The 14,206-nt window shown below is 38.5% G+C and overlaps 1 protein-coding gene across 11 annotated transcripts in view; it reads right to left on the bottom strand.

Moving 5' to 3' along the window:
- Window positions 1-14,206, bottom strand: part of EXOC4 (exocyst complex component 4) — an 847,874-nt gene that overhangs the window by 822,748 nt on the left and 10,920 nt on the right. For all 11 annotated transcript variants that reach the window (XR_007060126.1, XR_007060125.1, XR_007060123.1 and 8 more), the window contains exon 2: window positions 3,033-3,222. Coding sequence is in view for 3 of the 11 variants with exons in the window: in NM_021807.4 (NP_068579.3) it covers window positions 3,033-3,222 (190 nt within the window). In the remaining 8 variants the exon portion in view is untranslated. The remainder of the gene's footprint in view (window positions 1-3,032; window positions 3,223-14,206) is intronic.

Genomic DNA, 14,206 nt, shown 5'->3' with positions numbered 1-14,206 from the left:
CAACGTTATCTATTTGTTCGTTTTCTATCCTCTCATTTGCACATAAGCTCCCTGAGGACAGGAACTGGTGTTTCCCATTTGTGCAGCCCTAGCACCTAAAACACAATCAGCAACATAGCGGGCACTCAACAGATATTTGCTGCATGAATCCTTATTCTTTTGGCAGAAAATAGAAAGAAAATTTCAACTCAGATCTACACATTCTCAACATTTTGCTTGGCTCTGAGATAACGTAGCCCAATCGTTACTGAATCATCCATGTTTTCACTTTAAAAAAAATACACACCTATATTTCATATATAATCCAAAGTGTAATTAAAAGCCAAAAATGACAGGAAAAGATTAGTGAGAAAACATCAGTGTTTCCTTGGTGACAAGAAATGGACTGTCATGGTACAAAATTGTCAAAAACAAATTCATTTTCATTCTCCCCCCTTTTATTTTCCCATTAATCAATTATTAAAGGCTCTTTTGAAAAGAGCTCTGACCCTTTATTTCTCTACCCAATATTGAAGCTAATTCATAACCCAGAATAATATGACATTTACTTTCGTGACAATTATCAGATATAATAAAGTTTTCATTGTTATTTTCTTTTGCTCAAAACTCTGGCATACTGAAAATGAGGATGGTAAGAAACGTGGCTACTAAAACAAATGTGAAATGATCAAGACAAGGCTCTTTTTCAATATCAGGCGAACATTCTTTGTTAGCGGCTAAGATGTTATCGACTCAGAATGATGGGAAGCAAAGCAGAAATCACTGCTGGTGCTTCCCATGCCCATGAGATTAGGACAAAGTCTTTTCAGTCAACCAGACTAATCAGAAAATACAAATACCATGAGGTCCTTCACCTTTGCTGTTATTACCTGAGGCAAAGCCAGAAGGTCAGCAGCTCTATACATTCATTGACCCCTCTTGAGCTTAGTATATTGGGTCAAAATGGACTACAGTTTACTTTAAATCTAGAGCAAGTGATCTATAACTTTAACTAGTTTCACAGATAAATCCATAGGATGAACTCAGCACTTGTAAAGGCAAAGAATTATAGTATTCCTTTCAAAAATGCCCAGTTATAGCCAGGCGTGGTGGCGCATGCCTGTAATCCCAGCTACTCGGGAGGCTGAGGCAGGAGAATCGCTTGAACCCGGGAGGCGGAGGCTGCAGTGAGCTTAGATCGCGCCATTGCACTCCAGCCTGGGCAACAAGAATTAAACTCCGTCTCAAAAAAAAAAAAATGCCCAGTTAATTTTAAAATATAAAGAGGTCAACACATGGCTTCCAAAAAGGTTAAGAGCATACTGATTCTGGAACTAAACTCTTAGAAGCTGAAAGTCATATATCATCAGTATTTGTAGAAGCATAATTTATGTATCTGCTTACAAAATCATAATATAAGTCTAATGGACAGAAAACAAAACATGAAGATGCCATATGCACAGCTGTTACTGGGCAGATACAGGCCAGCCAGTCCCCTAACCAATCTCATAGCACAGGGCAGTGAATTTTAAACCATAGTCTATGCATCACTCAGTCCCACAGTGGTGGGGGGAACCAAGTATGATGCTTTGGACCTCTCACCCCAAAACCAAAGAAGAGGAGAGCACTGCCTCTCTTAATGACTGACATGCTGGTATTCTGCAAAATATCACATTAAAAAAAAAAGTTTCTGCTGCTTTAAAAATGCCTGAAAATCAGCAACAACGGCTTTAGAATCTGGGAGATTAGAGTTTAAATTCTAAATTCATTGAGATGATTGGACATAATCATCCCTTGCAAAGAATCAGTGTTCAATAAGTGGTGGCAATTATTGTTATTTATCACAGAGTAGTACTAAATGGTATTAAAGGAGTGATCTCAAAAATACAGCTAAAAACCACATAACTATAATGTTATACTACATAACCCTTATTTGATCAGTTCATCCTTTGGCCAATTATGAAAATACTCCTTACAAACCCATTTTATCCTTTAGGTACTAAAGGCATAGACCCAAGAACCAAGAGTTTTCTCAAGGACCTACAGCAAAAGGAAGAAAGTAGGGGAGAAAGGAGGGGTAGGAGAAGAGAGAGACAGGGAGAAAGAACGTGGGGGAAGGAAGAAAGGAAGGAAGAGAAAAAGAGAGAAAAATAACAAATAAAAGAAAAACTGTTCCAAAACATGAAAACTACAAAATAAAACTTAATACACATTAGTCACAATTAAAGCATGATATTCAAGAATTTTGGTTTTTTGCCAGGCATGGTGGGTCACACCTATAATCCCAGCACTTTGGGAGACTCAGGCAGGAGGATTGCTTGAGCCCAGGAATTCAAGGCTTCAGTGATGCACCACTGCATTCCAGCCTAGGCAACAGAGCAAGGCTCCAACTCTAAAAAAAAAAAAAAGAAAAAAATTGTTCTCATAAACATTTCATTTTATGTTTAAATAATTTGTAGGTTAAATTTTCTTCACTTCACAAAAAATACCAAGAATGCACAATAAATGCAGGCAAGTCACAACCAACTTCAATGTAGGAGACATTCTCGCTTCTGTGGTTTGGATTCAGATAAAAGGGTATTCGACTGGCTGCCCTCCAATTCATGTGAGTGTCAATAGGTCAGCCACTAAGATTCAGAATAGGCATTGAATCAACAGTCAGAATATTATGCTTTATTGTTTAGATGTGTGAAATACAAGAATAACTGCTAGAATGAGAATGGAGAATACAAGGGCCAGTATGCCTTCTGGTTTGTTAGGGATGGATCGTAAGACACAAGCAAATGGAGGCCATCTTGCTTGTCTCATTCCACACTGCAGTGAGAAATAATGGCAGAACCAAGGATAAGACACAGGGGAGGGGAGAAATCAGCCGAGGATGCCTTCTGTGATCTTTCCCAACCAGCCTTTCCAGACACCTGCAGAACTCCTGAAAAGTGGCATTTTGAATCACTTTGTTAAGGACCATTAGCCACTACCATGGCTCCTCTCCAAGCTGCAACACCTATAGTGATGGGAAGTGCTGCCACCATCAGACCAGAAAGGAGGAATACCTGCTTTATTTTATTTCGGGAGTTAGTGATGCGCTCTGTGATGCTCTGGTATGTGCGAATGGCTGTCGTCAATTCTGTGTAGTGCTGTACAATCAATTCATCCAGGTCACGGTCACATTTCTCGTAGGCTTCTTCAAGGCGACCCTTTTCATTTTCCCTGTCTTCGACATCGTCACTAGTAGACAGAGTCCTGGTGAAGGCAGAGAGTATATCAAGCTAAGTAAAACTTGAAAGTAAAATGCAAAAGAAAGGTGAAGCAGAAAGTAAAATGCAAAAGGAAGGTGAAGCACATTCATCTTATTAACTAGGAAATGAAATAAGTTACAAACAGAAAACACAAAACTTCCTTCACAGTAAATTTCAATAGCCCATCTAAGTGGATTTGTAGTTGCCTATCCAAGGGGCCCTTCTCTTCTGTCATTGGCATTAGAACTGATTTTAATCAGACAGCAGGCAGGCATGAACTGTTCAAGAGACTGGGTAACTCTTGATTTGAGTGAACTGTTCCATTCTCCTTATCAGTGACAAGTCTGATCAATGAGACAAAACTAAGGAAGTACTAGGAACAATTTTCTGCAAGAATAGTAACAAGAAAAGGTGCCTTTCCCAACCCTAGGTATCACTGTACAAAGATAAGATACTTAAGACACTTCAGCCATGTTACAACCATGGAAGGAAAAACAAGGAGGAATGCCAAGCTACCACTATGTCCTTGGCCACCAAAGCAGCCAGCCCTGCAGCTGCCTTACTTCAGGACTTCTTGTTAGGGGAGATAATAAATATCCATTGTTTAAGTCACTTTCAGTTGGTCTTTTTCATACATAGCTGAAAGCACAGTAACTGATACAATTACTTATACACTGAGGAACCACCTTCCGAAAAGCTCATTTGAATGACCTGAATTTGGTATGGAGCCCCCAGCAGTCTGGAAATAAGGTCATATTAATTCTAAAATCTCTTACAACAGCAGTCATCTAAGCTATCCTACAGGACGGTTCCCGCATTTACTAGTCTTCGAACAGCACTAACAAGATTGATATGAATCAACAATAACCAGGGAATGAGATAGATATACTTATTAAAAATATTTCAATAACTTCGTTTGATACATGGACCACAGATCTTTGTTTCCCCCACTATCTTTCTTGGATAATTTTTTTTTAATTTAGTATTATAATCAGTAACAAAGGAACCTTTTCCTCTTATCTGTTGGCTGTGGTAATTTAGAGTTTCATTAAATTCCCTCAGATTTGTCAGCTTATACATTCAGCCTAGTTTATTTCATTTATCTTTTTTAATTTAGGGAGGGGGATATTTTAGGTTCTCAATGATGGATGCCATCAATTATAAGTCCATCATTAGAACTGCTTTCAGAGATGGTCTGTCAGCAAATTAATCACATATCCACTTCTAGATATTTGCAAGCAAAATACTGTACAATAGTCTGCTCTGAACTGTCATTTAGAGCAAAGGATCTTAATTCATGAGCCACACAGTATATAAAACTTCTTTTCCAATTTATAGGGAAATTCAGGCCAGTCTTTGACTTCAATCTAACCTCCAAAAAGAATTTTACAATTCTTTTTGTTAGGTGTTAGGAATGCCAAAAGATCAGCTATATCATGAATACGGGTAGGGGGATGGCAGGAACAAAGGCAATGAAGGGAAGGGCAAAAGCCACTCAGGACAGCGTGGGATGCTCAGGAAAGGAACACTACTGGGAACCACAAGACTTGATTTAAAGCCTTTACATGAGAGATCCTGTTTCCTCATCTGTAAACTGGTGACCCTAAACCAGACTACTTCCAAGGTTTCTTGCAGGTAGAGAATACCACCCAAGTGTTTGACTATTAAAGTAAATCAGAGTGGAGAATGTAAACGAAACTGGGCTTCAAAGATAGAGCTACCAAGATTACTTGCAATATTTGGGTACAGAGCAGCTTAGCATGTATCATGTCTTCTTGTTGTTTTAATGATACACAACTTTGCTCTTTAAATCTGAAAACTTCCAGACTGTTAATCTAAAGTAAAGCACAATCAGAAAATGCCTTCAATTTATCAACTGTCCCAAAGGTAAGGGTTCCTAGATGTTTAACTCTATTATTTCCCCTTGTAACAGCAGTCACAGAATTGTCAAAGCTACACTAGATCGGTTTGCCATCTTTACAAGGCTTTTCATGATTTCCGCTCCACTACCATTTGTGGAAAAAATATGCCAAACATTTCACATTGTTTACCTTAACTAGTTAGAATTACCATTAAGGAAAATGTCAGGCCCAGAGAGAACACCTTTTCTGGCATCAGCTGTCACTGTTAACACATTACTGGATCATTAGGAGTTATTTAGGGAATAGAAAGGGTTACTAAAATGAAGATTAGAGAGGAAATTGGGCCTACTGGGGGTTCTGCCTCCTATTTTCCTTTTTCAAGAAAATATTTATGTAAGAAATACCCTGTGCCAGCTTTGCCCCATATTTAAAATGTATCCTCTTGATGTAAACTAGGATGAATATTTTGTCTTTAGTGAAAAATATTTACATTATAGAACTCAGAGTGCAAAACCATTAAAGCTTTTTTTTTTTAATTAGAGAAAAGGAAGGCAGCAAGGATAATAAAAATAATAATAGCCCCTAATATTTAGAGAGGCTTACTAGCTGCCAGGAGCCAGCTGTGTTGCACATTTTATAGAATGTATGTTTAATCCTCATAACAGGCCTTTGGAGTAGGTCCTATTATTATTCCCTCCCCTCTTTTTACAGATGAAACAGCTGAGATTTAAAGACGTTGAATTAATTTACACCACCTCACACAATGAAGGTTAGGAATAGTACGGGGATTTAAAACTCAGGTTGGTCTGCTTTCAGATTGCACTCCTAACAGCTACAGAGTGGGGTCTCTTCAGGCAGAGTAAAGCTGCCTGGGTTAGAATTGTGGCTCCACCCTACTGACTACTCATGACCTTAGTAATGGCATCTCATTTTGCTCATCTATAAAGTGAAAATACTAAGATACCTTCCACATAGGGTTGTTAGTGAGAATTAAATGAGATCAAACAAGGCCTGGTATGTCACTAGCACTCAACAAATGTTGGTTGTTGTCGTTAGCTATTATTGTTCCAGTAATAACAGTAGTAATGGCAGCAGCAAAGACAGTAGCGTTTTTCCATAACATAATAAAAAGTACACCCTCTGAAGACAAAAGTTAAAATCCCACCGCCCCCAAATACTAGATCACTTAACTCTGGGCATTAGGTTTAAACTCTCTGATTGTCACCTTATTCCTCCTTAATGTCAAGAATGGTGAAGGCTGAGATTTTATTCTACTCGAAAGCTAAGAGGTTAGCCACAGTTTCACAGGTGCTGGCAGAAGACACAAAACTCCTAGAGCTCCTCAAGTCCAAAAGACTTGATCACACTCACAGCACAGCAAGCGGCGTAAGCGCAGCATGTTCACATCAGTTCCCCTTGCCCCCAAGTCCCACAAGGGTTAGGCAGATGGGCCCAAAGAGAAGCCTGCCCACATAGGCAGCTCCTGGAGAAGAACTCCGAGCTCCGAAAACCGAATCTAAGCTCAGAGACTGGACTGGAAACACATCTGCCCCTTGCTCTGGAGTGAGAGACCATCTCTATCTTCCAACGCTGTTTGCTAAACAAACATCCTTGGCAAAATAACCTAAAACTTAGGGCAATCAGTGCTTGGCTCACAAGAACTTCAGAAACACAAGAGCCCTGAGGAGAATGGTCTCCCAACAATAATAAAATCTAAGTCATTGGGTTCCTTCAAGGATTGAATGCATGATGCCAAGCAATGGTAGGCGGTGAACATTTATTTCCAAGTTCTGTTTTCTTTTCTGCAATATGAGACCAGAAATACAATGTCTCAGACAATAAATGTTTGTCTGAGATAAATATTCAATAAAAATTAATAAATGATAGACCATAAAAGCATGAAAGAGGCCAGGCGCAGTGGTTCATACCTGTAATCCCAGCATTTTGGGAGGCCGGGGCGGGCAGATCACAAGGTCAGGAGTTCGAGACCAGCCTGGCCAATATGGTGAAACCCTGTCTCTACTAAAAATATAAAAAATTAGCCAGGCGCAATGGCCCGTGCCTGTTGTCCCAGTTATTCGGGAGGCTGAGGCAAGAGAATCACTTGAACCCAGGAGGCGGAGGTTGCAGTGAGCCGAGATCGTGCCACTGCACTTCAGCCTGGGCAACAGAGAGAGACTCCATCTCAAAAAAAAAAAAAAAAGCAAAGCATGAAAGAGCTGACTAATTCCAGGGAGAAAGTTCTCACACATGCTAGCAAATCCCAGCAAATTTCAGTGTGGGATTATCACTAGTCCCTTAACCTGAACAGATAGCAGTGCAGAAGACAACACTTGTCATTGAGCTCACCCCACCAGCCAGGTCATGAACCTCTCTTCAGCCTTCTAAGCCTCTGTGTAATGCAGAGCTCTACCAGCTGACAAAGCAATTCACTGCAATTTTGAACAGCTTTACTTATTATAAAGCCTTCCATTAAAATAAAATAAAATCAGCCTCTTTCTAATTTCTACCCATTGATCCTAGTCTCATCTTTTTCTGTAACACAAAAAAATGTCTATTCCTTCTTCCATAAAATTTCCCTTTAAATGGTAAAGGACTTTCAATAGTTCTTTCTTGGGTTAAACACCTCCAGTTTCTTCAACTGTTTCTTCCACACCATGACTTCCAGCAGCCCACCATCTTTTTTGCTTTCATCTGAAGTCCCCTCAAAAACAGGTAACACTCACATAGAACTTACTATGTGCCAGGCATTAATCTAAGTGGCTTACACATAATAATTAATTTATTGCAAAAACATCCTTATGAGGTAGGTACCTGTATTAATCCATTTTCATGCTGCCGATAAAAACATACCCAAGACTGGGCAATTTACAAAAGAAAGAGGTTTACTGGACTTACAATTCCACATGGCTGGGGAGGCCTCATAATCATGGCAGAAGGTGAAAGGCACATCTCACGTGGCAGCAGACAAGAGAATAGAGCTTGTGCAGGGACTACCCTGTCTAAAACCATCAGATCTGGTGAAACTCATTCACTATCACGAGAACAGTGCAGCGCAGGAGAGACCCACCCCCATAATTCAATCACCTCCTACTGAGTTGCTCCCACGACACGCGGGAATTGTGGGAGTTAAAATTCAAGATGAGATGTGGATGGGGACACAGCCAAACCATATCAGTACCATACTTATCCCTCTTTGTAGAGATAAAGAGATGGAGTTTTTTATTCAAGGCACAGTCTTTAAGGAGCAGAGTCTGACCTCAAACCTGGGCCATATGGCTCTTAATGGCTTCACTAACCTGCCTCTCAGATGTGCTGAGAAGTGAATACAACATACTTCCAAACAGAAAGAGGTTTTATATCCCACAACATGAACACTATCTTTCTAATAATATAGCCTAAAACTACATTCCATTTTTAAAAATATAGTCCAAAAATTATCCAAGATCCCTTTGACAGTAAGTGCTGACAAGTCAACTCTCACTCATCCTCCACTTGTGAAATTTTAAAACTAAATGCAGAAATTTACATGCATCCCTGTGTTCTACATGTTTGGAAAGGAAGGTGAAAGTGAGACACAGGATAAAAACTACTGAGCATCTATAATACACCAGGCAATACAGTGGTTATTTTGCATACCTAATCTAAGACAATCCTCAAAGCAGTCTAGTATAATAAAATATTATCACCAGCCTTTTTACAGATAAGGAATCAGAGGCTCACAGAGGTAAAGTAAAATATACACATGCACATAGTTAATATCAGAGTTGAAATTAAAGCTAAGTATATTTGACTCCAAAATCCATGCTCTTTCTACTATACATGTTACAAAATCCTATCTTTCCTGCCTTCAACTCCTGAGCTGCAGGACACATACTCTCATCAAGCCACAGTTCATATGTAAAGAGAACAGCAGACAGTTAGGGATGGAAAGAGAGCACCAAGCAGCTTTTTTAGTAATAACAGTCTTGAATCTGGGCAAGATTTAAAAGCATGAGCTAAATAAAAGACATGATCAAAGGACAAATGGCATAAAGTTGCCAACCCAAGATGTATTCAAGTTATTGAATCACTCTAGATTTTTTTTTCCATTCCTATTCTCAAAATGATTATGACTTATAAATTATTGTCAAGTTCATGGAGGAACATAAAAGAATAAACTAGATTCCAGTTAAGCTGGTCACAAAGACATTTCTGGATCATTAAGAATTTTTCATTAAGACAGCTCTGATATTTTGCATGATGAATTACATCTTAACCATGACTAATTAATTCCCAGGAAGGAATTTATTTACCTAAAGGGCTAAAAGGACCACGGTACACATGTAAAGCTACTGTTAACAACATCTAGTAGGAACAAATATGTTATTAAGTTCTAGTGGATTCACAACCATGAGCTCCAAGTGAGTCCCATAAACAAGCATTAAAACCCAGGGTAAATAACTGGAGATCTAAAACTGAATTTGTCTGTTTCCCATTTTCATACTAGCCTCTGTATTTCAGTGTAGACGATCAAATGTTTTGAAAGGAAAATAATCAGTCACCATCACTGGTTCCTTCTGTGGAGCAATTTTGCTTTCACTTTGGTCTTAATAGAGTAATGGAGTCCGGACAGGAGAAAATACATAAAAGTCAGTATTGTTCTTAAAGACAAAAGAAAGATCAAATAAAGGAAAAAGCACACCTGTGAAAATAAGGTCAGTCACCAAAAGTGATTCATCACTCAAGTGGAATAAAAGGATGCAAAAAGAAAAACCCAAATCTAGAATACTACCATTAGGAATACACCAAGAAAGTCTCTTACTACCTCATCAACTATATCAAACAAGAGCCATCCACATACACATTAAAGGAACACAGGCTCTGGAATTTTAAAACACCCAGATTCAAACGGAGCTCTGCAACTTTCAAGTTGCTTGACCTTTGGTAAGTGACTTAACTTTTCTGGGTCTGTTTTTTTCTTTGTAAAACAGGTAAGACAATAAGAATACCCGCCTTGCCAGGATATTGTTAGGACTGGAGAAATGTGTGAATGTGCTTTGAAAATATAAAGTGTGACGGAAGTGTTGTCTGATATATTATTGGGAACAAAATAAATAATCTATGAATCACAACATTGTTAGCCCAAATCCCCTAAAGCCTATCCCTTTCTAAAGTTCCTGAGGATATTTATTTCTGAACTGAGATCAGACCTTTTCTCTATATTCTTACAGTGCCTGGTACATTAAGTGCTTAGTAAAAGCTAAGTAATGAGCAGCAGTGCGATGCAGGATCTAGAGAGGTCATGGAGGACAGTTCCCAGCCTTAAGAAACAATTGCAACTAAATTGTCTCACATGAAATGCATGCTCAAAAATCTGTAGAAAAGAACAAATAGTTGCTCGTGACCCTATTTAATTCACTTATTCATTCAACAAATATTCACTAAGTATCTATTACTTACCAGGCACAGTTCTAAGGGCCTAGAGATACATAACAGCAATGAACAAAACCAATCCCTCCCTCATGAAGCTTATGTTCTAGTGAGGGGAGCTGGGAGGTAACAGCTACGCAAAAGCCAAGACAGGCAAGGAGGAAGGAGGCTACTTCACATAAGGAGGCCAGGGAGGGCCTCTCGGATAAAGATGGCATTTGAATACAGCTTACTAGAAAGTGAGAGAGAAAGGGCACTATCTGGGAAGCTGATTCCAGAGAGAACAGACCCTGAAACAGGGTGTGTTTAGCCTGCTCAAGGAACATGGAATGGCAAGGAGGTCAATGTGGCTTTAGAGACTTGAGAAAGAGTGACAGTGACAGGAAATGAATCAAGGAGAAAACTGGGAGCCAGACCAGGCCCAACTTTGTGAGCTTTTACTCTGAGTGTTCTATGAAACTACTCGGGGAAGAGCACCCAGCCAAAGCCTGATAACCTTTCAACCAGTATTTAATTGTGAAACTGAGTAACAATATCTACATTCAAGTTTCATTTTAATTATATCCCACCTCTTCCCAAAAAAGATGTGAGATGGCTTGTGCAAGAATATAAACAATAAAAAGTAAAATACAAATGAGAAAGTGGGACTAAAGAGATGCAGGGCTAAACACCACCAAATAAATGTAAAAGACAACTATGCAGATCATATGGGCAAGCAAAGTTAATATGAAGTGAGCCCCCAAACTAAATCTGAGCTTCCTAGCAGCCCAGGCAAAAGGAGACACATCACATGATATAATTCTCATTCTCAAAAAATATGGACTCCAGTTCCTTTAAGGAAGCAAATTTTGAACTAGTCCTAAATTCTAAAAGAAATCTTTCACTTAAAAAACATGGAAGACCTAATATAGTAAAAGATGTCCTTAACAATCTTCTGAAAACAGACAAAGTCACAAATCTTACATGGCCATTTCTTGTAAGTTCCTTCAAGAACATAACATTAAAACTCAATTCAGGCCTAGAGATTTTGAAAGATCTGAATACAGCCCAGGTACAAAGTTTTCCAACAATTCATTTTAATTTAAGTCTAGAATTTCAGGAACTTACAGGACTAAATAGATCAAATTATGTTTTATTAATTTTAATATAAGCCAGAAAAGCATGCAGTAAGATTGACAAACAATTGTGAAAAATTAACAGCTTGACCAGGGCTCTTGCCCGAGCCTCAAGACTATCTGTAGGTGATGAGAGATTCTCACTCTAGAAGCAGTTTAGGATATTTTATCAAAATAATAAGAGTGCCCAGGGTACCACCTGTTACAAATTGAACTGTGTCCCTCCCAAATTCAAATGTTGAATCTCTGACTCTCACTGTTACTGTATTTGGATACACAGCCTACAAAGAAGGTAATAAAGGTTAAGTGAGGTTATAAGGGTGGGCCTTAATCCAAAAGGACTGATGTGCTTAGAAGAAAGGAAAAGGAAGGAGAAGCCCTCTCCACACATTTACACAGCAAAGGCCATGTGACAGCAGAGCAAGGGAGCCATTTACAAGCAGAGTGAGAGGCTTCTCTAGAAACCAGCCCTGGTAGGTTGATCTTGAACTTGTAGCCTCCAGAACTGTGAGAAAATACATTTCTATTGCTTTAGTCACCTAGTATTTGGTGTTTTGTTATGGCAGCCCAAGCAGACTAATATACCAAACTTTAAAACACAGGCAGTGTCATTTTGGTTGGTTAATTTTTCAAGATAAATGTTATCAGTCACTCTCCTTAGTCAGAAGCAACACAGATTCTTGGCAAATCCACAAGAATTAGCTGCCTAATACAGCCCCAGATAACTAAACTAATTAACTGGCTATAAGAAATATTTAATGTAATACACCTGAATTTTGGCGACACCTGCAGAATAGTTAGCATTAAGTCATGCTTTCTGAAAACAGTTAATCGGCTTAATTGTCTACTAAAGACATTCCTTGTTGGCATCCAGTGACTTCTCCTCCAGGAATAATAAAGATGAACAAAACAATGAATGGAAATCCCTTCAAGCAACTCAGAAAAACTAATTACAAGTAGAGCTTCACATATCCAAAAATCACTTATCAGGAAGCAACAGCTCTACAGAGCACAATCTACAATAAGAATCAAATCTCAGTGACCCCTCTTAAAAGTACTCAAAATGGGCCCCTAAGTGGATAAACTATGTCACCGAATCCCTGCCTTTTCTACTCATCAAGCACCTGAACCACCCAATCCGTGCTACCTTCTCTCTTGTTGGGACAATTCCAGTGAATTTTTTTTTTTTTTTAGACAGAGTCTAGCTCTGTCACTCAGGCTGGAGTGCAGTGGCGCGATCTTGGCCCCAGTGAAATTTCTTAAACTACATAATGGAAAGAGTACTAGATAGAGAAGGGGTTATCCTGATTTAGTTACAAAATATTCAAACACATTATCATAAGGCAAAAACTAAGCATAAACTCTCAACAAATGCTGAAGAGTTCACTAGTTTCAGAACCTCACTCCGAGATGGAAAAAAAGGTAATTATTAGCTTACTGATCTTTCCAGAACATAATATTCCTGTTGCTACTCATCCCGATGCAAGAAAAAAAGAGTCTAGAGCTGATGTGATTCTTTACAACATAAATCCTGTTTTCTTTCCCAAACTGCTTTTAACCAGAAGACATTAGATTAAGTTATTATATCTATTCAGCCCTAATTTCACAGTATGACAGTCAGTTTCTCTTTGCCTTTAAAATACTAAAGGGCCAATCTGAGAAATGGCTGACAGTACCATATACCTATTATGTCATCAGGGAAACAAAAGCCTGTCCTAAGTATGAATAGAGTGAAAGTACAAACTGAAGAGGAAAAGAGATAGTTAAGAATATAAGCACTAAAGAAACAAGTTAAGAAATAAGTTTTCCAAGCCTATTATTCTAAGCAGAACATTTTGTATATGACAAATAGTCTATAAATGCTTCCAGTGAATTATGAAAAGAAGAGACCCTCATCATAATTCTGAGTTACTCAGAATTATGAGTTTAATGTGTAAAAAATTACACATTAAAGAAATGTCCAAGATGTGTATCACTATATAATCACATAAGATACGGCTTCCCTCAAAGCATAACCAAATCTACATTACACTTTTAAATCGCATTTTATTATATTCAATTATACATTGTGATTGCTTATTTCTTAATTATGTCTTATTAGAGCACACAAACTACAAGATAATCCCATCCCAATTGATAGCAATTCACAATGACAAGTCCCTCTGAAAAAGTTTTCTGATGCATAAAAACAACATCCCCTAACAATACAAAGAGATGTATTTAGTATCAAGTGACAGTAAACAATTTTTGCTTTAAAGTCAATTGAAAATTCATTGGTGTCTTGCTTCAGACAGCACTTAGGGCCAATTACTACACCCAACACATACAGTTTTTCAAGAGTTCAATTAACTCAGTTATAGAACACTTCTGGGGACCAAAAGCTATAAATCTCTTAGGCAACAAAGGTCATTATCTAATATTAAGTAAAATCACCCCACTAAGGCATAAAACTGAGCCCAAGGTTGACAAAGTCAACTTAAAATCTACCCCCTACTCTTACTTCACCCAACTCTACCTCTTTTTCTACTTCTTTTGCAGCCCCACATCCTTCTCCAAGCATTGTCCACAGTGATCTTCTTTTCTGGTGAGTTCCTCAGAA

This window comes from Homo sapiens, chromosome 7 (assembly GCF_000001405.40).
Source record: "Homo sapiens chromosome 7, GRCh38.p14 Primary Assembly".
Classification (NCBI taxonomy): Eukaryota; Metazoa; Chordata; class Mammalia; order Primates; family Hominidae; genus Homo; species Homo sapiens.
Note: the sequence above shows the minus strand (reverse complement) of the source record. Positions and strands in the feature narration are given on the sequence as shown.